The 27,422-nt window shown below is 38.8% G+C and overlaps 1 long non-coding RNA gene across 10 annotated transcripts in view; it reads left to right on the forward strand.

The window, feature by feature from the left end:
- Positions 1 to 27,422, forward strand: part of LOC105373456 (uncharacterized) — a 529,181-nt gene that overhangs the window by 120,083 nt on the left and 381,676 nt on the right. For 5 of the 10 annotated variants that reach the window (XR_007086234.1, XR_001739304.3, XR_007086229.1 and 2 more), the window contains one exon: positions 7,951 to 8,070. The exons of 2 other annotated variants lie outside the window; for them this stretch is intronic. This is a non-coding gene — a long non-coding RNA (uncharacterized LOC105373456). Of the gene's footprint in view, positions 1 to 6,812; positions 6,936 to 7,950; positions 11,542 to 27,422 lie in introns of those variants that run through there. 3 more of the 10 variants (XR_007086231.1, XR_939776.3, XR_427002.4) reach the window with 3 other exon arrangements.

Consider the following 27,422-nt stretch of genomic DNA (forward strand, 5'->3'; position numbering starts at 1 on the left):
GAGTGGTATCTAGTGTCATTCGGAGGATAATCTGAATCACTCATTGTGTTTAAAAGAAAATAGGTTTCTTTAAAATAAATATTTATCACAGATTTCCTTACACCAGAAAATGATTGTCTACCATGTATAGTAACTGATATGCTTTGGCTGTGTCCCCACCCAAATCTCATCTTGAATTGTAGTTCCCATAATCCTCATGTGTCATGGGAGGGACCTAGTGGGAGGTAATTTAATCATGGGGCAGTTACCCACATGCTGTTCTCATGATAGTGAGTGAGTTCTCATGAGATCTGATGGTTGTATAAGGGGCTTTTCCCCCTTTTGCTCTGCACTTCTCCTTGCTGCTGCCATATGAAGAAGGATGTGCTTGCTTCCCTTTCCACCATGATTGCAAGTTTCTTGAGGCCTCCTCAGCTTTATGGAACTGTGAGTCAATTAAACCTATTTTCTTTATAAATTACTAAGTCTCAGGTATTTCTTCATAAAAGCGTGAGAATGAACTAATACAGTAACCTTTGCTTACTTTGCTGCAAATCTCCTTTCTCACCTGAAGAGTTAACCAGTAAGCATATAGAAACTTTCCTGGAACCCATCCTTACTCCTTATTGTTGTCATGTGTGATTGCAGCTTGCCCATTCAGATACCTTCTGTTTCTCCTATGAGAGAATCCTATGTGTGTATCTATATATGTGTGCATGGACATAGGAAATTGTAAGTAGTTAAGATTTCCTCTAGCATGTAGAAATTTTCCATTATCCTTACTCAAATGTCTTCCAAAATTTGTACATTAAAAGACATGCCTAATTTTTAACTTTGCAAAGTAGAGTGTCCTGTAAATGACCTGTATGTTATTGCTTCCCTAGTGCCTAGAGGAATGTGTGACAAATTGAACGGGGTAAGAGATGTGTGATAAACTCAATTTAATGTGATGTTCTCTGTGGTCCTTTCGAAGCCTAACATTCATTGATTTATTGATTCAGTGATTTAATATGTATTTGAGTACTACTACATGAATCATACTGTTGTAGACAATGGGATGTAACAGTGAACAACGAATGTTCTCCCTCATTAAATTTGCGTACTGATAAGGAAAGATGGATAATAAATATACAAATGAATAAATAGGTAATAGAAGTAGTGAGCCAGGGGGTGTGATAAATGTTGTGAAAGAAAGTACAGTACAGTGCAAGGCACAGAGTTGGGGTCCTTTTTTTAGATAGGATGGTCACATGAAACTTTCCTGATAAGATGCCATTTGAGTAGACAACCTGGAGGGAGTGAAATGTTAAGTGAGGCATATATTCACAAGGTAAGCATTGCAGGCAGAGTAGAGGCAAAAGTGAGAGAGTGATTTGGGTTTTAAGAAACAGCAAGCCCACAGTGTTCCAGGGCAGAGCAAAGGAGGTAGGTGAGGAAGTTGGGAAGTGGAGAGATGTAATTGGAGTCTAGCTCACACAGGGTTTTGGGGGCCAGGATAGGGACATCAGAAAGCCATTAGAGAATTTTGATCATAGGCGTATCAAGATATTGACACTCAACAGCAAAAAAGGAGTCAATTTGACTGTATAATAATTTAAAGATATAATTTAAATATATGTTTTACAGGATCTCTTTGATCACTTTGTGAAAAATATACATTTGGGATCAAGTGTGGAAGCAAGTTCGGTTAGGAGTGTTGGAAAAAACCTGGGTGTGCAATGATGGTTGCTTGAACTAGGGTGGCAAAAAGTGCTTTGTTTTTAGAAATACTTCAGTGGTAGAGTCAAAGTAATTTGCTGACAGATTGGACATGAAGTATGAAAGAAGGAAAGGAGTCAAGGCTGACTCTAATTTTACGGGGGTGAGAGTGAGCTGCCACAACTTGAAGAATGGAATTTTTATTTCCTAAGATGAGGAATGCTGTAGGAGAAACTGGTTGTAGGAAATGAGCAGGTTAAGTTTGGAACTTCTATTAGAATTCAGACGAGAATGTTAAGAAAACCGTTGGAGACTAGTGTTCTATGACATCTGGACTGGCATTATACTTCGAGAGTCAACAGCATGTAGATGGTGTTTAAGTCTGTGGATCTGGTTGGCAGCACCAAGCAAGACAGAGTAGAAAGAAAAGGGATGAGATCTTAAGACTGAGCTTTCACATGCTTTAGCATTTAAAAGTTGCAAGGTGACAGGAGGAACACAAAGAGACTGGAGAATAAAAGCAGCCAGTAAGCAAGCATCAACAAGGCGTTTGTTGGTGACAGTTGAAAGTAGCTGTTTTGGTTGATTGTGGAAACAGCCTGATTGGAGAGGAATAAGAAAAAATGGGAGGAGAGAAGAAGGGATCAGGATTATGACTATTTCTTCTTAATGGTGTTATAAAGAGAAGGATAGAAATCTGGTGGTGGCTAGAGGGGATGTGGGTCAAGGGAGGAGTCTGGGTTCTCTCTTTTGTTTCTGATTTTAAGATGGCAAATGATTTGACATGTTATATAATGTGGAAGGGTCCAATACAAAGTGACAGCAGTAGAGATTTATATGTGTGCTTTTTGATAAAACATTTCTGTTGACTTTCCATAAAACAGATGGATTTTGGCATTAGGGTGCCTCCTGGTCCATGGTGGGTGGGAGTTCCCTTTGCACTTTGTAACAGAGTCAGCACTGTGACAGAAACTCACACATCACTCCATTTGCTAAGCTAATAAAGAGGGCAATCAAAGGCCCATGTGGTCACAAGGTAGGCTGGTACGATCAGAAAAGGAGATTTATAGACTAAAGTGAACCACAATATTAAAAGGTCACAAATAACATTTCCCTGTTGCATCTACTTTCTGCATATCCTAAGGCCCTGCATTTTTGGCTGCTTTTAGATAATTCATTTGAGTATGGTTATGAGCTTTTGTGCTAACCCATGATCGATAACCCCTGGGATAGCAGAATCCCAGGTGTGTGGAATGAATGGCGGGCGGGGCAGGGGGTGTTAGGAGGTTCCTACTGAAACCTATAATTGAAAAGGGTAGAGCTCAAGCCTGGCCAGGGCAGGACAGTGCCTCTTGCTGCTGCAATGTTCTAAGACTTCCTCTGGCACTGATATCCTGTGGTTCAGTGACTGCAGAAACCAATTTTCAATAACACAGAGAAACTGTTCTTCTTCCTACTTAGGAAACAGACCTGTGGTTTCTTCTATGTTGGGTGTATTGTAGCTGTCAAATTTCTCCTCAGGAAATTTAACCCTTTTTGACTTTCACCTCCTTTAAATGTCTCCTTTGCTTCAGATATCTTGTCTAAGAGAATGTTCAGGTACCTTCAGTCCTATGGTTTTCTGCTAATTAAAGATATTTAGAATCTGTTATCAATAGAGGCTAAAGTTTACTTTTGCCCAATCTATAACATAAAACAGTTTTTTACATTTCTGTATGTGTATCTTGTTGAAGATGTGTTTAGTTTATTTATAGAAACTTTCTTTTCAAATATTAGAAGCACCTGTTTTTCTAGAAACAGCCATCTTAAAGTAGGTTGATCAGAGTCTAGGCAATATTCTGGTAGTTAAGTGATTTGTATCCACTTTAAGTTTAAAAAAAAAAACGCTGCATTTCCTTATGCTGTTGATCCACTTCTACACTGAATATAACACTGGCAAGTCAGGATGGTGATGAAAAGAATCAGTGGTCCGTAGCACTAAAAGAATTCCTGGCCACCCCTGGCTGCCAGGTGGACCTAGCAATCAGAGACATAGAGATAGTGTTGTTTTTTTTTTTTTTTTTTTTTTTGCTTGTCCTTATTTGCCAAAAACTTTAACAGTAATAATTCACTTTCTTATCCTAAAAAATTAAATAACAAAGGACTATTCTCATTATCAATTAGGAAGCACTAAGACACAAAGCATAATCATGAAGATATTTGGGGAGCTAGGAATCTCCATAAAAGTGGAGCTAATCCCAGTGTTTTCCTTTGATTACTTTTGGTACCATTTAGTCCACTTACTGTATCATCTTGTAATTGCCCTGAACAGTTTTTCATCACAAAAGCAGTTACATTCTCTCACTATTTGACACAAAGTGTAAAGAGAAAGTATTTAAAATGTCAGGCTACTTTGGTATGTTATACCACAAAGGATGGAACAGATGTTTTTAAATAAACATCAGCCCTGGTTGTGGGTTGTTGAGACACTGAGAGAGCCTTTTTCAGAAGCAGGGGCAGCTCATGAATTTAGAGGAGGCTTAAACACTGTACTTTCACATAAAGCCATAAAGAGTTGGCAGAAGTATCAGGGATCAATGAATGGGCACAGAGCTGAGCATGTTATAACTCAAATTGCCAATAAAAATGTCAGCCTTGAATCTGAAGCAAATAGTTTTGTAATTCTGAACTGAAAGCATTTTTTAATTGCTTTCGAATGGAAAAACTTCATATAATTTAATAAAATTTATCTCCTTTATAATCAAGAAAGCCATTATTGCAGCAAAGGGAAGTGGAGGATTTAAATGTCATTCCTAGCATCTAATTTCCCAGCTCTTTTATTGGGATGTTATTAAAACAAAACCAAATGGACTTTGCTACATCCATAAAAGCCAGTCAAGCAACAAGAGTTCATCTGGGCAGTACAGAATCATGAAACTGGGCCCGTGGCTGTAGCCAGGCTGGTGTGGGGTGAGACACATCCTGGAAGCAGGTGTGATATGTCAGGAGCAATGTTTTGGCATTCTGGAACTTGTGGAGCCTAAAGAGCAGCTGGATGCAGGGAGAAGCATACCAGGGACAATGGCTATCTTTGTACTCTAGGGATCTATTTGGTTCTTTAATGCATGTTGTGAATCAACTAAATGCTTGGAAACAAATAATGGTAGGAATCTGCTGGGGTCCTAGACAAGGGCTGATTGGAGAGGGCTTTTTCTTTGCTGAAAAGCAGGGCCACCAGCTTGCTAGGTGGATACTTGGGTTCATCGTGTAGACCTATTGAGATAAATTCTAGGGCTAGCAGGAGGGCAAAACCGCTTGTGGATGATGGAACTATTTACAGTAAAACAATTACCAATGAAATAGAAGGTATCCAGACACCTTTGGCTGTGAGGAGAGAGATGTCATTACTAGGATGGCATAGAACGGAAGCTAAGCATGTTTAAAGTTCTAGGTATTACACAGGGTGCCTTACTGGTAGTGGTAGTCCTAGTAATAAATAACATTTTCTAAGAACCATCTGCCAGCCACAATGCTTAACAGTTTGTATATTTTGTTTGATTTATAATAATCCTCTGTGGTCTTATCCCCATTTCACAGATGATTCTAAAGCCCAAGTTTGTTCAATGCTTTCTATTCCCTGTTCCATGCTCTCTTTCATGGGTGCCGTGGAGCATACAGTGCCAGCTTGGTTTCCTGTGAAAATAAACAGCATTACCTCCCAGTTTCAAAATACTATGGACATATATAACTGCAGGACAGTTCTTTGGGTGGCCTTAGACTGATCCAGTTCCTCCCACCATGCCCCCTCTTTTTTTTGCATGTATTTCTCAAGAATAACTATAGACTGTGCTGGGAATACAACATTATCAGATAAAAGGGGAGCCCGATAGCCTGGGCTCTGATCCAGCCCCCTCTTCTCACCCCAAAACAGGATGTTTTCAGTGTTTTAGCCCACTTGTCATGTAACCCCTGGGTATATATAATCTTAAGCCTGCTGTCTGTCAGAGTTCCTTATCTGTGGTGCAAGTGGGACACACACAGTTGAGACTTCATCCACCCCAGGCAGCTTTCTGAGCCTTGGAGGGTCTGCTCCCAATGACTCCTGGGCTTCTGTTGTTCATTGCTGCCTACTGTAAGTGGTAAACCTGCTTCATGTAACTTGTTGCATATGGATGTATTCTGTTTCCCTGGATTTAGACAAGTTGGTAACCAGTCCACTGTGAACTCATTTCATAATAACCTTTACTAAACAATCGCAAAACTATGATTCTGCATTCAAATTTCTATTCTAGGCACAGAAGTTATGTAGTGAGTCCAAAGATGACAAGTCACATCTATATCTGTAATGGAGTTTGTCTTACACACCTCTGAAGTTAAAGAAGGAAAGGGAAATAATGAGGGTAAAAAAGTCTCTATTTTTTTGTTTTGTTTTTGTTTTTGTTTTTTTGAGGTGGAGTTTCGTCTGTCTCCAGGCTGGAGTGCTGTGGTGCAATCTTGGCTCACTGCAACCTCCGCCTCCCAGGTTCAAGGGATTCCCCTGCCTCAGCCTCCCAAGTAGCTGGTACTACAGGTGTGCCCCACCAGGCCTGGCTAATTTTTTATATTTTCGTAGAGATGGGGTTTCACGATGTTAGCCAGGATGGTCTCGATCTTCTAATCTTGTGATCTGCCCACCTCGGCCTCCCAGAGTGCTGGGATTACAGGCAATGGGCAAAAACATCCCCCAAAACAAAAAACAAATTGTTTTATGCTTGACCAAACTGTATGTTCTGTGTATGGCACTATGATAGCAAATTTTGGGTCAGGAAAAGCCAGTAAGAAAGAGACCACTTCTAAGCATGTGGCCAAAGAATCACAAATGTGTGTGTGAGTGTGTATATGTGTGTGAATTTAATAGCACCATTAAGGGTAATTTAAAAAATAATAATGAAAGACAAAGGAAAGCATCCACAATCTCATCAGCTAATAATATTACTGTTTTATTTCTGGGTTAATTCACATTTGTCCATATTCTGACACACTTATATAGTTACCATTATGAGCAGAAATCTTGGCAAAAATTTGGGGGGCAGTAGTAATAGTGATGTCTGGAAACAGATGTCCTGGCCTTATCATTTATGAGCTCGGAAACATTTCTGAACTGTTTTTCCTTTCAGATTACTCACATGTAAATGGAAATAATATTAGGGCCTGCCTCATGAGGCAGCTGAGAAAATGAAATGAGAAAAAACATTAAGTACTCGGCATAATGTGGAGCACATAGTATGCACTCATCACAGGTTGGCTTTCATTACTGTTTGGTGTTCATTCTTCACAGAAATCATGTTTTAAATGTGCCTTTACACTACTTAAATGTGGTTAACAAAGTGAGGGAAGTTCATTAATAGCCAAAACCACTGATAGGGAGATCATGTGGTTGTAAAGTGAGGACGACTCAGATCCAACCCAGGCCACTCAGATGAAACCTATCTTCTAAATTAAAGTTTTTGTATGAGAGAGCTATAATCCAAGTGCCAGAAATCAGGCTTTCCTTCTATTTTGAATCTTGACTCTAACATACCTAAGTGCACTGTGAAATTTGGGCAGGTGACAACGTATTCAGCCTACTACTAAGGTCTCTAATAATAGAAGTTGTATCTAGCAGGGTTGTGTGAAAATTAAACAAAAATTAAATGAGATACAGGTGTTGACAAGATTGTGGAGAAATTGGAATCCTCATACAGTGCTGGTGGGAATGGAAAATGGTGCAGCCACTTTGGAAAACACTTTGGTAGTGCTTCTAAATATTAATCATAGAATTTCTATATCACTCAGCAATTCTGCTTTTAGGTGTATACCCCAAAAGACGCAAGACACTCTTCCTTTTCCTCACCTCAAGCAGAAGGAAGGGGTCTCTTTTGGAGCCATGAGCTGTGCAGCCTGGCATTAGGGCCGGAGTGATGTCATCACTCCCTTGGCTGCCCCAGCTGGTACCTCAGTATGTCACATGCCCCCCAGTTCACGGTCTGTCAGCCTAGTTCAGCCCTAGGACTAGCCTATGAGTTGCAGTCTTTATGGCTTAGACCGCCTTTCAAGTTTACTTAGAGACCAAGAGCACTTTGGCCGTAGGTGGTGAGGCTTGTGGACACTCAATTTCAGACCTTTGAAATTGGCAATTTCCCTCTGGCTGAGGCTGGTTTAAATGCTCCCTCTGTGGGCAGTCCGCAGCTGAGTTTGATCTGGTTTTCCCTTTGGCTCTAACAGGACACAGCTGAGTTTAATGCCTCACAATTGCTGTGTTCTTCTTTCTCCCAGTGCCCAGAGATGCTCTCTGCACCACACCACCACTGCTGGGGTCGGGGAGCGGAGTTGGTGATCCAGGAATGTTTTCCTGTTTCTTCAGTGCCTCTTTCAGTGATATGAAGTTAAAACCAGGTACTGTGAGTGCTCACCTGATTTTTGGTTCTTATGAATGTGTTTTTTTTCTGTGTAGATAGTTCTTAACTTGGTGTACTTGTGTGGGGGGTGATCTGTGGAGCTTTCTATTACATCTTGATCTGCCTCTCCCCAAACTTGGGCATATTACATGTGGGAAAATTCTATTATTGTACTCTTGAGTGTAAAATATGGTTTAAAGGACCCCAGAATTCTTTTCAGCTGTGTAAGTTATTTAAAATAACATTTTTATTACAGATAAAATTAAGCAAAGTGAAGACAAGTGATTTTTGTTCTCTAGTATCTTGTAGCACTACTATGATGTGTTTCTCTGCAAAGTTGCTCTTGATATCTATATAGCTAATCTTTCCAACTCTTCCTTTACTGTTTCCTAGCCATGTATTTAGCCTTTCTCTTTCACTCACCAACACAGGTACTAGTGACCTTCCTACTTAAAGTAATGCTCAAAAATGGCCAATGAAACTGTGACACAAATAGCAACAGCAAAGCAAATCTAAAAGTAATAGGCTGTCAGCGACTTGAAATATTCTCTCAAGATAAAAACATGTGAGGGGAGCAAGATGGCCCACAGAATGATTCCAGGATGGTGGGGTGGATGGATCACAGATAAATCTGGCAAGGTTGAACCCTTCCATCCTCGCTGCAGGAGGCCAACCCAAAGCCCTGAGCTGGGACCTATGCTACCCTCTTCTGCTTGTTCTGCAGGGCTGCAACATGTGTTCTGTGCTCCATATTTCACCTGAAAAAAGGGAGGCAGGTGCCATTGAGAAGCTGGCTATAAAATCCTTTGAAACTACATTGTAGAATTCCAGAAAGTGAGTTCAGAAATATTAATCCAGCTCCCACATTTACTGAAGGGGAAACTTGGGATCAGAAAGGAGCTCTTTAAAGACATGGACTCTTTAGATTGTGAGCTCTTTAAAGACAGGGATTAGTCTTTTTTGTAGCTCTAACAAATACGTAGCACCTCACACAAAGCGTATGCTCAGGTACACGTACCTTGAGGTAACAGATGCCCAGTACTTAAGGAAAGTGTTAAGATGAATATACCCTTGTAAACCCCACACAAAATGTAACCACAGAAAGAAACTCTCATTTTTCAGCAAGCTTTACTTACCTATAGAGTTCCACAGAATGCAGCTAGGATTTCAGTTGGGTTAGGAATGGCCAGAAATGCCCAGGTGTTCTGGCTGGTGCCCTTGGATAAGCCCACAGATTTTCTGGGGAAATTTAATCACGTTGACACCTACCTCTGGGACCAGGTGGGCTTGTGGAATTTTCTGTCTAACAAAGTTCCATTTAGCATATTAATATGGATTTTGAAAAGTGTATTCTAATGAACTGTCAGGAAAGCCAAGATCAGCTAGGCCACTGTTATCCAAATCCAAAGAGTGTGAGTGTGTGTGTGTGTGTATATATACATATATATAAGTGTATATATTTTTTTCTTTTCATTGTGAGGCATCTGGAATGTAGCAGGAAATTTTGAAGCCATGGGATGTTATATTTTTTGTTTTTTTCCCTTTTTAGGTTGAAAGCCAAATTATGACAATTTGGGATTTCTGGAAATAATATTTTACAGTAGTAGTTTTCTGCCCATTTCAACTATAATTTCAAATTCTCTTTTTGCTCTCAAGGGTACAGTGATGAATGGTCCCAGCTGTGTAATTGTAGTTTTGGGGTTTCTCAGGAGATGGCACTGGATCCTATAAAGGCTCTGTCTTAATGGTGGTACAAGAACCTTGGCATGCCCACCTCCTGCATGTGCTTTTGTTCATGACAACATTGCACATTCGGGGACAACATTGTGTCCCCGAACTGTAGGCATGCTCCCTATTTCGTATCAGAAGGAAGGTAAGTTTCCCTTCCTGTATGGGACAGAGACCTAAGCTGGGAGGTTCAGGAAGTTTGAGGAAGTGCCCAAACTTCCGCTACTGGGGACAGAGATTGGCGTGACACTACTTCTGCCTGGAGAATCCTATCCTTCCCCATCCAACTGATTCTTTCCTGTCCCCTTCAGAGCTGGCACAGAACACATTTAATAAGGATACAGTTCGAGGAGAAGGACTGCCCTAGTCAAAGGGCTTTTCAGGAAAGTGGCCCTACTCAGACCCCTTCTACAGCTTTGGAATCAGCACACGCGCTGTCAGCACCCACCTGCAGCATATTGAAAGCGTATTGAAAGCAGCCAGGGTGGCAGCAAGGGGGCGCCACAGCAGATACACGCAAGTCCCCATTCTGCATCCTCAGCCAGAGGTAGCAAACTGGCAGCTTGCTAGCTGGACCTGGCCTCAGGGTGTTTAGTTTGGCTCTCCCAGAGTTGGCCCACACAGTGTTTTATATTTGATTTATTTGATTATAAAAATGGGGAGATATCACATAAATGTGTAAATTTCCAAAATCTTTTGAAAAACACTTGGGAAATGCTTGGCTCTTTTCCTTTCATTTGCAAAAAGGCTGTAAAAGAGCAGGTTTTGCTACCTTTTATAGAAGCCTGGTATGATATCGTGATTTAGAATAAGAAATATATATTTTGGTCTTTGTTCCCAGTTCCTGAGACAGGGCACCTAGTTCCTTGGAGTGTTCTGGGTGATATAAGCATCTTATTTTTTTTTCGAATGAAGTAACTGTTATCAACAGAAAGACCAAGCATGATTAGAAGCTTGGAATTTGCACCCCACTTCCCATCCTTCATGAAGGAGAAAGGGGCTAGAGATTAAATTAATAATCAATCATGCCTATGTGATGAAGCTGCCATAAAAAGTATTGAACTACAGGGTTTAGAGAGCTTCAAGGATGGTGAACAAGAATACGTCCATGTACCAGAAGGGTTGTGTACCCCTAAGTACATGGGCACAGAAGTTCCTACACTCAGGACTTTTCCAAACCTTGCCCTATATATGCCTTCATCTGGCTGTTGATTGGTATCCTTTAAAATATCCTTTGTAAAAAATAACAGACACAAAGACTGATGAAACAGAATAGAGAACTCAGTAATAAACCCAAGCATATACAATCAACTAAATTTTGACAAGACCACCAATAAAGCAAAAATGGTGAAAGGATTCAACAAGTGGAAATGGGAAAATTGGGTATGTACATGAAAAGAATGACACTGGATCCTTAAATGGTATCCTACACAAAAATCAAATCAAAATGTATTAAAAACCTCAGTATAAGATCTAAAACTGTAAAAATTCCTGGAAGAAAATATACAGAGGAAAAGCTTCTTGACATTGCCCTTGGCAATTAGTTTTTGGATTTCACAACAAAAGCTCAGTGAATAAAAACAAAAATAAATAAGTGGGACTATATCAAACTAAAAAGGTTCTCCAAATAGCAAAAGAAAAAGACAGCTTATGGTTTGGGAGACAATATTTGCAAACTATACATCTGATAAGAGATTAACTCCCAAAATATATAAGGAAGTCACACAATAGCAAAAAAAAAGTTTAAAAAATGAGCAAAAATCTGGACATTTTTCTGAACACATAAAAATATCCAACAGGTATATGAAAAGGTGCTCACCATCAGTAATCATCAGATAAATATAAAAACCACAATGAGATATAGTTTCACATCTGTTAGCATGGCTATTATCAAAAAGACAAGAGATAGCAAGTGTTGGTGAGAGTCAAAATTAAAACTCTTGTGACCCAGTGGTTCCTTTTCTGATTATATGCCCCAAATTAATGGAATCAACACCTTGTAGACATTTCTACACTCTGATGTGCATCACAGCTTTATTCACAATAGCCAAGATAAGGAAACAACGTAAGTGTTCATCAATAGATAAATGGATAAAGAAAATGGTATCTGTCTGTCTATCCATCCATCCATCCATCCATCTTTTTTTTTCATTATTGTACTTTAAGTTTTAGGGTACATGTGCACACTGTGCAGGTTTGTTACATATGTATACATGTGCCATGTTGGTGTGCTGCACCCATTAACTCGTTATTTAGCATTAGGTATATCTCCTAATGCTATCCCTCCCCCCTCCCCCCACCCCACAACAGGACCCAGTGTGTGATGTTCCCCTTCCTGTGTCCATGTGTTCTCATTGTTCAATCCCACCTATGAGTGAGAACATGTGGTGTTTGGTTTTTTGTCCTTGCGATAGTTTGCTGAGAATGGTGGTTTCTAGCTTCATCCATGTCCCTACAAAGGACATGAAATCATCCTTTTTCATGGCTGCATAGTATTCCATGGTGTATATGTGCCACATTTTCTTAATCCAGTCTATCATTGTTGGCCATTTGGGTTGGTTCCAAGTCTTTGCTATTGTGAATAGTGCCTCAATAAACATACATGTGCATGTGTCTTTATAACAGCATGATTTATAATCCTTTGGGTATATACACAGTAATGGGATGGCTGGATCAAATGGTATTTCTAGTTCTAGATCCCTGAGGAATTGCCACACTGACTTCCACAATGGTTGAACTAGTTTACAGTCCCACCAACAGTGTAAAAGTGTTCCTATTTCTCTACATCCTCTCCAGCACCTGTTGTTCCCTAACTTTTTAATGATCACCATTCTAACTGGTGTGAGATGGTATCTCATGGTGGTTTTGATTTGCATTTCTCTGATGGCCAGTGATGATGAGCATTTTTTCATGTGTCTTTTGGCTGCATAAATGTCTTCTTTTGAGAAGTGTCTGTTCATATCCTTTGCCCACTTGTTGATGGGGTTGTTTTTTTCTTGTAAATTTGTTTGAGTTCCTTGTAGATTCTGGATATTAGCCCTTTGTCAGATGAGTAGATTGCAAAAATGTTCTCCCATTCTGTAGGTTGCCTGTTCACTCTGATGGTGGTTTCTTTTGCTGTGCAGAATCTCTTTAGTTTAATTAGATCCCATTTGTCAATTTTGGCTTTTGTTACCATTGCTTTTGGTGTTTTAGACATGAAGTCCTTGCCCATGCCTATGTCCTGAATGGTATTGCCAAGGTTTTCTTCTAGAGTTTTTATGGTTTTAGGTCTAACATTTAAGTCTTTAATCCATCTTGAATTAATTTTTGTATAAGGTGTAAGGAAGGTATCCAGTTTCTTCTTTCTACATATGGCTAGCCAGTTTTCCCAGCACCATTTATTAAATAGGGAATCCTTTCCCCATTTCTTGTTTTTGTCAGGTTTGTCAAAGATCAGATAGTTGTAGATATGTGGCATTATTTCTGAGGGCTCTGTTCTGTTCCATTGGTCTATATCTCTGTTTTGGTACCAGTACCATGCTGTTTTGGTTACTGTAGCCTTGTAGTATAGTTTGAAGTCAGGTAGCATGATGCCGCCAGCTTTGTTCTTTTGGCTTAGTATTGACTTGGAAATGCGGGCTCTTTTTTGATTCCCTATGAACTTTAAAGTAGTTTTTTCCAATTCTGTGAAGAAATTCATTGGTAGCTTGATGGGGATGGCATTGAATCTATAAATTACCTTGGGCAGTATGGCCATTTTCACGATATTGATTCTTCCTACCCATGAGCATGGAATGTTCTTCCATTTGTTTGTATCCTCTTTTATTTCATTGAGCAGTGGTTTGTAGTTCTCCTTGAAGAGGTCCTTCACATCCCTTGTAAGTTGGATTCCTAGGTATTTTATTCTCTTTGAAGCAATTGTGAATGGGAGTTCACTCATGATTTGGCTGTTTGTCTGTTATTGGTGTATAAGAATGCTTGTGATTTTTGCACATTGATTTTGTATCCTGAGACTTTGCTGAAGTTGCTTATCAGCTTAAGGAGATTTTGGGCTGAGAGGATGGGGTTTTCTAGGTATACAATCATGTCGTCTGCAAACAGGGACAATTTGACTTCCTCTTTTCCTAATTGAATACCCTTTATTTCCTTCTCCTGCCTGATTGCCCTGGCCAGAACTTCCAACACTATGTTGAATAGAAGTGGTGAGAGAGGGCATCCCTGTCTTGTGCCAGTTTTCAAAGGGAATGCTTCCAGTTTTTGCCCATTCAGTATGATATTGGCTGTGGGTTTGTCATAGATAGCTCTTATTATTTTGAGATACATCCCATCAATACCTAATTTATTGAGAGTTTTTAGCATGAAGTGTTGTTGAATTTTGTCGAAGGCCTTTTCTGCATCTGTTGAGATAATCATGTGGTTTTTGTCTTTGGTTCTGTTTATATGCTGGATTACGTTTATTGATTTGCATATGTTGAACCAGCCTTGCATCCCAGGGATGAAGCCCACTTGATCATGGTGGATAAGCTTTTTGATGTGCTGCTGGATTTGGTTTGCCAGTATTTTATTGAGGATTTTTGCATCGATGTTCATCAGGGATATTGGTCTAAAATTCTTTTTTTTGGTTGTGTCTCTGCCAGGCTTTGGTATCAGGATGATGCTGGCCTCATAAAATGAGTTAGGGAGGATTCCCTCTTTTTCTGGTGATTGGAATAGTTTCAGAAGGAATGGTACCAGCTCCTCCTTGTACCTCTGGTAGAATTTGGCTGTGAATCCATCTGGTCCTGGACTTTTTTTGGTTGGTAAGCTATTAATTATTGCCTCAATTTCAGAGCCTGTTATTGGTCTATTCAGAGATTCAGCTTCTTCCTGGTTTAGTCTTGGGAGGGTGTATGTGTCGAGGAATGTATCCATTTCTTCTAGATTTTCTAGTTTATTTGCGTAGAGATATTTATAGTATTCTCTGATGGTAGTTTGTATTTCTGTGGGATCGGTGGTGATATCCCCTTTATCATTTTTTATTGCGTCTATTTGATTCTTCTCTCTTTTCTTCTTTATTAGTCTTGCTAGCAGTCTATCAACTTTGTTGATCTTTTGAAAAAACCAGCTCTTGGATTCATTGATTTTTTGAAGGTTTTTTTGTGTCTCTATTTCCTTCAGTTCTGCTCTGATTTTAGTTATTTCTTGCCTTCTGCTAGCTTTTGAATGTGTTTGCTCTTGCTTCTCTAGTTCTTTTAATTGTGATGTTAGGGTGTCAATTTTAGATCTTTCCTGCTTTCCCTTGTGGACATTTAGTGCTATAAATTTCTCTTTACACACTGCTTTGAATGTGTCCCAGAGATTCTGGTATATTGTGTCTTTGTTCTCGTTGGTTTCAAAGAACATCTTTATTTCTGCCTTCATTTCGTTATGTAACCAGTAGTCATTCAGGAGCAGGTTGTTCAGTTTCCATGTAGTTGAGCGGATTTGAGTGAGTCTCTTAATCCTGAGTTCTAGTTTGATTGCACTGTGGTCTGAGAGACAGTTTGTTATAATTTCTGTTCTTTTACATTTGCTGAGGAGTGCTTTACTTCCAACTATGTGGTCAATTTTGGAATAGGTGTGGTGTGGTGCTGAAAAGAATGTATATTCTGTTGATTTGGGGTGGAGAGTTCTGTAGATGTCTATTAGGTCTGCTTGGTGCAGATCTGAGTTCAATTCCTGAATATTCTTGTTAACTTTCTGTCTCATTGATCTGTCTAATGTTGACAGTGGGGTGTTAAAGTCTCCCATTATTATTGTGTGGGAGTCTAAGTCTCTTTATAGGTCTCTAAGGACTTGCTTTATGAATCTGGGTGCTCCTGTGTTGGGTGCCTATATATTTAGGATAGTTAGCTCTTCTTCTTAAATTGATCCCTTTACCATTATGTAATGGCCTTCTTTGTCTCTTTTGATTTTGTTGGTTTAAAGTCTGTTTTATCAGAGACTAGGATTGCAACCCCTGCCTTTTTTTGTTTTCCATTTGCTTGGTAGATCTTCCTCCATCCCTTTATTTTGAGCCTATGTGTGTCTCTGCACATGAGATGGGTTTCCTGAGTATAGCACACTGATGGGTCTTGACTCTTTATCCTATTTGCCAGTCTGTGCCTTTTAATTGGAGCATTTAGCCCATTTGCATTTAAGGTCAATATTGTTATGTGTGAATTTGATCCTGTCATTATGATGTTAGCTGGTTATTTTGCTGGTTAGTTGATGCAGTTTATTCCTAACATCGATAGTCTTCACAATTTGGCATGTTTTTGCAGTGGCTGTTACCGGTTGTTCCTTTCCATGTTTAGTGCTTCCTTTAGGAGCTCTTTTAGGGCAGGGTGGTGACAAAATCTCTCAGCATTTGCTTGTCTGTAAAGTATTTTATTTCTCCTTCACTTATGAAGCTTAGTTTGGCTGGATATGAAATTCTGGGTTGAAAATTCTTTCCTTTAAGAATGTTGAATATTGGCCCCCACTCTCTTCTGGCTTGTAGAGTTTCTGCCGAGAGATCAGCTGTTAGTCTGATGGGCTTCCCTTTGTGGGTAACCTGACCTTTCTCTCTGGCTGCCCTTAACATTTTTTCCTTCATTTCTACTTTGGTGAATCTGACAATTATGTGTCTTGGAGTTGCTCTTCTTGAAGAGTATCTTTGTGGCGTTCTCTGTATTTCCTGAGTTTGAATGTTGGCTTGCCTTGCTAGATTGGGGAAGTTCTCCTGCATAATATCCTGCAGAGTGTTTTCCAACTTGGTTCCATTCTCCCCGTCACTTTCAGGTACACCAGTCAGACGTAGATTTGGTCTTTTCACATAGTCCCATATTTCTTGGAGGCTTTGTTCGTTTCTTTTTATTCTTTTTTCTCTAAACTTCTCTTCTTGCTTCATTTCATTCATTTGATCTTCCATCACTGATACCCTTTCTTCCAATTGATCGAATCAGCTACTGAGGTTTGTGCATTTGTCACATAGTTCTCGTGCCGTGGTTTTCAGCTCCATCAGATCCTTTAAGGACTTCTCTGCATTGGTTTTTCTAGTTAGCCATTCGTCTAATTTTTTTCAAGGTTTTTAACTTATTTGCCATGGGTTCAAACTTCTTCCTTTAGCTCAGAGTAGTTTGATTGTCTGAAGCCTTCTTCTCTCAACTCGTCAAAGGCATTCTCCATCCAGCTTTGTTCCGTTGCTGGCGAGGAGCTCTATTACTTTGGAGGATGGAGGCCCTCTGATTTTTACAGTTTCCAGTTTTTCTGCTGTGTTTTTTCTCCATCTTTGTGGTTTTATCTACCTTTGGTCTTTGAGGATGGTGATGTACAGATGGGTTTTTGGTGTGGATGTCCTTTCTGTTTGTTAGTTTTCCTTCTAACAGTCAGGACCCTCAGCTGCAGGTCTGTTGGAGTTTACTGGAGGTCCACTCCAGACCCCGTTTGCCTGGGTATCAGCAGCAGAGGCTGCAGAACAGTGGATATTGGTGAACAGCAAATGTTGCTGCCTGATCATTCCTCTGGACGTTTTGTCTCAGAGGAGTACCTGGCCGTGTGAGGTGTCTGTCTGCCCCTACTGGGGGGTGCCTCCCAGTTAGGCTACTTGGGGGTTAGGGACCCACTTGTGGAGGCAGTCTGTCCGTTCTCAGATGTCAAGCTGCGTGCTGGGAGAACCACTGCTCTCTTCAAAGTTGTCAGTCAGGGACATTTAAGTCTGCAGAGGTTTCTGCTGCCTTTTGTTTGGCTATGCCCTGCCCCCAGAGGCAGAGTCTAGAGAGGCAGGCAGGCAGGCCTCCTTGAGCTGCAGTGGGCCACCTAGTTTGAGCTTCCCGGCCACTTTGTTTACCTACTTAAGCCTCGGCAATGGTGAGCGCCCCTCCCCCAGCCTCACTGCCACCTTTCAGTTTGATCTCAGACTGCTGTGCTAGCAATGAGCGAGGCTCCATGGGCGTAGGACCCCCCCGAGCCAGGAGCTGGATATAATCTCCTGGTGTACTGTTTGCTAAGACCATTGGAAAAGCGCAGTATTAGGATGGGAGTGACCCGATTTTCCAGGTGCCATCTGTCACCCCTTTCTTTGACTAGGAAAGGGAATTCCCTGACCCCTTGCACTTTCCAGGTGAGGTGATGCCTCACCCTGCTTCAGCTCATGCTCGGTGTACTGCACCCACTGTCCTGCACCCACTAGCTGACACTCCCCAGTGAGAAGAACCTGGTACCTCAGTTGGAAATGTAGAAATCACCTGTCTTCTGTGTCGCTCATGCTGGGAGCTGTAGACTGGAGCTGTTTCTATTCAGCCATCTTGGCTCCACCCACCCATCCATCCATCTTAAAAGAGAAAGAGGGCTGGGCGTGGTGGTTCACACCTGTAATCCCAGTACTTTGGGAGGCCTAGGCAGGCAGATCATGAGGTCAGGAGATCGAGACCTTCCTGCACAACATGGTGAAACCCCGTTTAAAATACAAAAATTAGTCGGGCATGGTGGCGGGCACCTGTAGTCCCAGCTACTCAGGCGGCTGAAGCAGGAGAATCGCTTGAACCCGGGAGGCAGAGGTTGCAGTGAGCCGAGATCGCGCTACTGCACTCCAGCCTGGGTGACAGAGTGAGACTTCGTCTAAAAAAAAATAGAAAGAGATACTACTATTTGTGACAATATAGGTAAAACTGGAGGAGGTTATATGAAATGAAAGAAGCCAGACGTAAGAAAAATACTGCATGAATGATCTCATTTCTATGTGGAATCTTAAAAAAAACAAACCAAAACAACAACAACAAAAAAACACCAAATGCATAGAAACAGAGAATAGAATGGTGATTACCAGGAGCAAGTGGTGGAGCAGAGGAAACAGGGAGGAGTAGGTCACTTGCAGTTATACAGGATGAATAGATGTAGACATCTAATGTGCAGCAGCATGAGGACTGTAGTTAACAATACTGTATTGTATACTGAAAATGTGCTAAGAGAATGGATTTGGGCTTGTCTTATCCACAACAAGAGAAAACATGAAGTGATGGATATGTCAATTAGCTTGGCTATAGTTATCATTTTACTCCATATATATGTGTGTGTGTATATATATATTATATATATACACACACACATATATATAAACATCATGATGTGTACCTTAAATATATATGATAAAAATTAAAGTAAAAAAATTAAAACTTAAATTAATGATACTATCCTCAAAAAAGAATCTTGTAATAAATCAGCACTGGTAAGTAAAATTGTTTCCCTGGGTTCTTTGAGCCATTCTAGCAAATCAAACCTGAGAAGGGGGTCATAGGAACCTCTAATTTGTAGCCAAGTCAGCAGACGTGGATAACCTGGCAACCTACTCCTTGTGGTTTGCTTCTGAAGTGGAAGACAGTTGCATGGGGTCAAGTCCTTAACCTGTGGGGTCTCCACTAACCTCAGTTAGTGTCAGAATTGAATTGAATTGCAGGACACCCAGTTAGATACAATAGTCCTACCTTATTCATGGTTTTACTTTTTGTGGTTTTAGTTACCCGGAGTCAACAGCAACCTAAAAATATTAAATAGAAAATTTCAGAAATAATTAATAGGTTTTAAATTATGAGAAACATGACAAAATCTCGCTGTCACATTCCATCCCATCCTGGATGTGAATCGTCCCTTTGTCTAGCATCTCCATACTGTTGATGCTCCTCTGCATGTGAGTCACTTAGTAGCCTTCTCCATTATCAAACTGACTGACATAGTATTGCTGTGCTTGTTTCAAGTAACCTTTATTTTACTTCATGATAGCCCCAAAGTGCAAGGGTAGTGATGCTGGCAATTTGGATATGCCAGAGAGAAGCCATAAGGTGCATTCCTTGTGTAAAAATGTAAAAGTTCTCAACATAGGGGGAAAAAATGTATGCTGAGGTTGCTATGATCTACACGAGAATGAAGTCTTCTATGTGTGAAATTTTGAAGAAGAAAGAGAAATTTGTGCTTAATATATATGGGGCTTGGTACCATCCATGGTTTTAGGCATACACCAAGGGTCGTGAAACGTATCCCCCGCTGATAAACGGGACTGCTGCAATTGCTAGGTGGGGAAACACACTCCACCTGGTCATGTTATTGGAATACATTCTGATTTTTAAAAATTCTGCCATGAATTTGATAACCATTTTAAATGGACTTGTAGTTTATTAACCACAATTGCATGTAAATGTATTTGAAAAAATTAGTTTCCCATACATGTACAATACATATAATTTATTCAGTCAACTCACAGTGATTGATGTATATTTGTATTTGCAGCCCATAGCTTACAAACACTGAGCTACAAAGAGACCATTTTCCAAATCATGCAATCTCCACACCACTGACTGGAATAAAAATGAAGGAAACATAAATGGAGGAAACAGTAGCTCCCTATTACCTACTCAAAGCTCTTTCTCACTTATTTCCTTACTTGGGCCTTCAAAGGTGAGGAAAGCGGACCCCTCACTGCCTAACAGATTATAAAATTGAAAATTTACAATGTTTTATGTAACATTTCTTCTGTGAATAAGTAATCCAAGTTTTCTAAAAAGTAACTCATGAATTACTATAAATAAAAGTCACCCATAAATCTATATCACATAAAGAAAACCAAACTGTCCATAATTTGAGATACTTTCTTCCATTGTTGGAGAGTGTGTATGTGTGCATACACACACAAAATCATGCATGAGTTGTAAATTGTATCCTAATGTGTTTACAATTTTACGATCTCCGTTTTCATGCCAATTAACGTTTATTAAAAACACGAGATTTTAAAGATTGTGTAATTACTATCATACAGGTGTACTGTTCTCCTGCCATTGCACATTAGGGCTTAGCCCAATTGTCTGGCTACTGTAAGTAATGCACATTTATGAATAAAGTTTTGTTCAAACTGGATTATTTTCTTGGAATAGATTCCCGTATGTAAATGTATAAATCAACTGGTACGAAATATTTTATTACTCTTTATTCAAATTGCCTTTTAAAAGGTTTATGCCAAAACTATACTGTATTTCCATCATTGATATATGAATATGTAGTATGTTAACACACTCATATATACTTAATATTCATTGCATGCTTTTAAGTTCATAGAAGGCCCTTTCAAGTATTATCTCATTTATTCCTCCATGACAATCAATAAAGTTTAATATCTCCACTTATATAGAAGGAATCTAAGGCAATAGTAAGTTAAATAATTTGCCCAAAGTTTCTGCTACTAAGTGGCGTGGCAAAGACTTAACTTTGAAGCCTGTCGCTTCTCCTAAACCAAATTGCTAAATGAGAAAATCTGTAGTATAAAGAGTTTATAACTTTTCTAACATTAAACAGGTGGTTAGAGATCTGGGATAAGCATCTACATCTATTTCAACCAAGTTGAGCCTCTCTCTTTTTCTTTAATTCACCTTTATCTCTTATGTATGTATTGATTCTTGTTATTCTATGACTAATTTAAAAAACTGGATGTGTGTGTGTGTGTGTGTACGTATATGTGTGTTTAATTTAGAAGGTCAATCCTTAAACATTAAAACCTTAAAACTCAATCTATTTATGTTTGTTCTAAGGCATTACTTGTCCAGAATCATTAGGGTGTATCCTGCTAGTTGCCATTAGCTTGATTATTATTTGTTCAGACTTTTCCAAAAATTGACTCATATAAACCCTTCTCCGTTTCCTCATTACACTTCCCTGCCACCCCGAGTCTTTCCTGAAAGATAAATCACATTATTTTTTGGCAATGGTTTTGTAATGGGGAATTTAGCACAAGACTAAAATTGACTCTGTGCAAAATTAGCTGGCCCTGATTCTTATGATTCAGTTTACCAAATAGCTATGTTAATGGACCTAGACAATGTCAGAAATACCTGTGTCAGCTCTGTTGCAGAAGCCAGGGAAAATGACCATGACAGGGAAAACCTACTCTCATTAAGTTTGCTGCTTTTTTTATTTAATGAAGAAGATTATTTTTCCTTTTGTGAAAAACACTGGGCAAACATATGTAAATGTTTTGATCATCTCTTCCCATTGGGTAAGTATGCCTAAGCAGGAGCAAAAGGCAGAGGAAAAGAAGCTCATTTCCTGAAATGGAATACTGTCTAGATTTGGCTCTATAGCCCAGAGGATGATTGGGATGTGTATTGTTCTTGGATGCCTCTGAAGTGAAGACCAAAGGGAAAGAATTCAGAAACCTTGAACTGGAAGGGTTGGTGTTACTCATCCTCTGATGACTGTCTTCAAAGTCAACAAAATCAAACAGCTGGACTTGAGAGGAGTCATATTTGTGGGGAAAAGACCAGGTCATTCTTGAGTGCCCCCTTGATTTTTACTTTAGCTGCTTTATTTTAACTTTGTTCTTGCAAGGATCACCTATTTTAATGAGTCTTAGTCCTATCAACATTTGCAACTGTCTCATTGAGAATCTCCTTTTGGTGGAAGTGTGAGTGGGTGGGGTGGGCTGAGAATATTGTCTCTGCCTAGTCTCTTAGTAAACATTTGGATTACATTTTATTTTTGGACCCTAAGCTCCCAATTTTCAGAGACTATCTTCTTTTTGGTATGTGATTTTGACTGCAAAAAAAGTAGTTTAGTCCAATATTTCCCACCCTAAATCAAATTTTTGAGAACCATAAGTAGGCCATTAAAAACTTTATACTTTTCCAGTGAGATTAGGAGGGAAATGTTCCAATAAGTTCACACCATTGTTTTAATGTCTCTGAGTGATCCCATGAATAAGCTAAGAATCACACAACCTCTAGGATGAATATGACCTGGAGTAAGAAAGAAAAATTTAAAACTAAGAAAAATTTATTTTAGAAACAATTGAATTCTCATCCCCAGGAGTATAATACATGTGGTAATATTTCTCACAGATATGGAATCATTGTTTCTCATAATTCTTTTCATAGTTATTGATCTTCCTTGCCACTACCTCAACTATGAGACTTATGGGTTTTTCTTTCATGTAACCATTAGTCCTTGTTCTGGTCCATATATTTTAGTGGCTATCATAGCTACAGATAATGAGCTTTAGCACTAAGAAGCCGTTGGAAGGATATAGCAATTACTTGGTCTAGTGAGTGAGCATAGTTGTGTTAGCTATAGCTCAAAGAAGATTATGTGATTAATGTTTATTTGCCAAATAGGATGGGAGAAGGATTGTAGTAAAGGCAAATAAAACATTTTTTTCCTTAATAAATCTATATGGGATTAATAATTAGTTCTATATGTGTAAATGTTACTTACTCTTGGTAACATATTTGTATTGAAGAAGAACAGTGTAGAAGACAATTTTTATAATTCATCTCCACAATAAGGAAGGTCTGTTAAAGCAAAAACTAAATGACTATGTCCATAAAGGAGAACCCCAGGAAATCAGAAATGGCACTAGAGTCCTTATTTTCCTGGGAATTTACAAAGCTGATTCACGTTTTAATCTTTAATATGGTAAGGAGATGTTACTGAGATTGCTAAAGTCCATGTCTGACAAACTACGTTGATATTTTAAATCAGTAAATCTCACTGTGCTTCAAAGAGGCAGCAATCTAAGTAAGATACATATGATTTAGGGAGGTGTGTGTGCAGTTATATATTTGTTTCCTATTGGAGAAGATTAGGCTTTAGTGAATGGGTCTTATTCCATGGTAAACTGTCGGCCCAGGGGATTTCTAATCTTTAAGCCTGGAATAGACACACTCTTGGCTGACATGTTCCTGGAAGAGGGATGATTAATGGAACTAATTTTAAGAACACGTCTATCTTTTAAAACAAACAAAAAAATCTACATGTGGTATTATTGGCAAGTTGCTTGCATGATGAGTCTTAACAGAGTTCTTTCCACATGGATTACCTGAATAAATGAAGCAAGGAAGAGAGAGCACTAGCTTGTACTGAGCAACTACTGGATATAATAATATATTCTAAAATAGCAAAATATTGCACATTATGATACTGGTATAAAAATGGATCAGTTTGTTAGAGTATGAATTCCAGAAAAAGAATTAATTTAATGTTTCAAGGAACCCTTCCAACAAGAAGAAATTAAGGATTTTTCATTAAATGGTGATCTGATAGATAGCAGTTTTGAAAATGAAAAATTATATTAAAGATTTCTGTGTTGATGATCAAGGATTGATACAATTACCTCCACTCTTTAGTAAGGCACTGAAAGATTTTCTAAGCATAAAAATGCAAAAGGACAAAAGAAATGAGAAATTGCATTAGCAACAAATTTTTGGAAGATAGAAATTAAAAGATGAGTGCTAAGACATTTAACTGACCTGAGAATACTGAATCTTAAGTCAGCAATGGAGAAAATTGAGCAGCTACTCAATCTGTACCGCAGATCTCACAAGAGGCTCAGAAATTGTCAGCACCACGTATCTCTGGAGAGGACAGGATGGAGTGTATGAAGAGGTTGTTGAAAACAGGAAGTTGGATTCAATTATTTTTTTAGACTCAGTTAAATCACCAGATTCCTCATCCTCTGTGCAGCTGGAAGAGTTGTTGTCCCTCACCCTGGCAGAAGACTGGAAGTTTATTCTCTAGAGAGGTAAAGTTGAGTGTCTCTGGGTTGGGAGTATCAGACACATTTTGAAGGAAGGCAAATCTTATTGCAGATTGAGGGATTTAGTTAAAGCTTGCCTACTGAATGTTAGGTGCTCCCATACCATTCTTCTCCCACTCTGCTCTCAGAAAGCAAAAGAGCCTGTCTTATGCTTTTCTTAAAATACTTGAAGATTATTCTATGCAGAATGTAAATGGTCAGTAAGAAAAGACTAAAGTCAATGCTTTCTTCAGTGTCACAGCCCAGTCAGATCACTCTTTAAAGTGAAGCCCAAAGTTGACAAGCACACACAGTGCTGAGAAGTGCCAACCAGCCTGTAGAGATCACCAGATATTTTAACAAAACCTCTAACCTAAAAGTTAGAGACTAACATAAATAAACAGAAAATAACAATGTTGGTGGAACAGATTATACAGAGAGCTAAAAAATTAAAAACACAATTATTTCCCAAGTAGCTATGAGACAATATTGTATCAATGAAACAAGAATAATGTGCTTCAAAAAGGGAGAATATGACTCAAGAAAAAACGTCCCGAAAATTAAAAACAAAATACAATAAAATAGTTCTAAAATAGAAGTTTTAGAAACCAACATTAAGATGTTCTCTCAGAAAGTAAAACAAACAGCAATGGTAAATAGGAGAGAAAAAATGGTAGAGGATTATCTCAGGAGTGCCAATATTTGAAATTATAGTTCTAAATAGACAAAATACAAAAAAGGAACATAAAATAATCAATAAGTATCTCCCAGAATTGGAGAGAATGAGTTATAGAATTATAAGAAGTGCCTAGCAAAATAGATTAAAATATGAGCACATCCTGTCATTTCATACTGCCAGTGCCCAAGATAAGATCCTGAACCTTTTGGAGAGGAAACAAAAATCAGATATACTAAAGATTATGAATAGAATGCTTTTGGACTCTGCAGAAACAGACCAATGTCTTCAAAACTTCTAGGAAAAATGTTTCCCAATCTAGAATTGTGTACTCAAACTGTCAAGTAAATGTGAGAGTAGAATAAAGACATTTTAGGACAGTCAATATTACCAAAAATGTGCCTCCTACTTACCTTTTCTCTGAAAGCTACTTTAGGATTTTCTCTGCCAACTTAGAAAGTAAAAGCAAGAAAGAAGATAAATGATCTGGGAAACAGGATCTCACTGTAGCAAGTGGTAAAAAGAATACCCTCGATGATGATATGCACCGATTTGTAGTATTTAGTAAATATCACTTTCCTTTCCCTATCTCCAAACTCCTGTGTCCTCAAACGTTCTTCAGTGGGCAGATCTCTGCAAACCTACCCCTAAAGTTAGAGGAAACTGAAAAGCAGAAGAAAGAGGCTGACAAATCAATTTTTTTAGTAAGAAATATTTAATAGGGCCTTACAAACAGAAGCCATGCTGTCCCCAGTGGCAACGAGATGAGATAGTGGGTCCCCATGCCATTAACCCCAGATCTGAGGCTTATATACCATAGGGAAAGGGTATATGTGGTTCAGAAGGAATGTGTAGGACACCTGAAGTATGATAACATCAAGATTGTTTTGACCTAAGGGAAGAGTTTACAATAAGTATGTGTTCTTACACAAGGCACAACAGATAGACTGGAAATCTTAGAGGCCTTCCTGGAACAGAGGTGAATCAGAAGTCAACGTGGCAGATTAGCATCCAAGATGGAGTTGCTTTAGCTTCCACATCAAACTCCCATGCATTAAAGTGTGGCCTCTGGACTGTCTTGTGGATGGAATGGATTGTGCTACTTTCTTGCTACTGTTTTCAACAAATGATTTTGCCTCTTCTGGCTCCCCTTAAGATAGCTGGATGCAGGTTATGACTAGGCCCCAGTAGATGGTAGATTCACAAGATTAAAAATAAAAACCTGGATCCATAAATCACCACATGGAGAAGAGGCACCCACTAACCAAGGATCACCATCTTGGATTGTTTCGTGAGCAGGAAATAACTTTCTATTCTGGAAGTCTGTTTATCATTGCAGCCTACCCTAACTACTAGGAACAGTAAAGGAAATACTAGGATAAAACTATGTAATAGGCCTAGAGAGTAACCAGTCCAGATTAGAGCAAGTCAGAAAAGTTTTCCAAGAAGATGAAGCAGATAGAAAACTGGATGTATTTGAACACTGGGGAAAAGTTTAGGGGTGAATTAGTCATAATAACACAGGCAACAAGGAAAATAAAAGTAAACAACACATCCACTGAATCTAGGGAGAAGGAAATTTATGCAAGATAGGAAAAGTAATTATACCTTGCTGCATGGCTCAATTGTAAATAGCATTTACATAACCTTAGTAGACTGGTCTAAGCAACATAAAATTGTAACTTTATCGGGGGGTTAGAAGTCTGGAGGCATGCATGTGTATAGTAATGTGGGAGGAAGAAAGAGAGTTAAGTCTGTATGTCCCATCTTGGGAAGTCAATAGATTATGCCTAAAACTGATAAATCAAGAATGGCTATTTGTAAGCATTTCATATATATAGAGAGATTAATACCAAGAAAAAATAGCTACAAGTGTCAACAGTGCATAACACTGAAGAATAAAAATATTGAAAGGATATCAGCAGGGGCCTTATATTTTATAATAAGCCACATAGATTTATTTTGCTGTTTAAATTCTATGTCTGTATAAAATACATTAAAACAAAAAACATACATTTTAAAAAGTTAGATCCACACTCTTTATAAAAATATTCAGATGTATTAGAAATAGAGCTATAACATTAGAATAAAGTTCAATCAGAGTGAAGCAGAAAACAGATAGGAGTGAGGGGATTCTGCTGCTCAAAGCTACAGAAGAAAATGAAGCGAAAAACATCTGTCTAATAAAAAGCTAAAACTAAATAAAAATCTGAAACTTTATCAGTTATGAAACTAAGTTTTATTATAAAGTAGCTCATTCAAATTATGAAAACTATCAAGACCTTGGGAGATGAATTTTAAAAATATTATATGACAAACTAGAATGGGCTAATTGTTAAAAAGATAAAATTTTCTGTTAAGTGAAAAAAGGAAGATTTACCTTTATATGTAGCCAACTTAAAAATCGTAACTCTAAATATTCTTGGAATTATGA

Source organism: Homo sapiens, chromosome 2, assembly GCF_000001405.40.
Source record: "Homo sapiens chromosome 2, GRCh38.p14 Primary Assembly".
NCBI classification, from domain to species: Eukaryota; Metazoa; Chordata; class Mammalia; order Primates; family Hominidae; genus Homo; species Homo sapiens.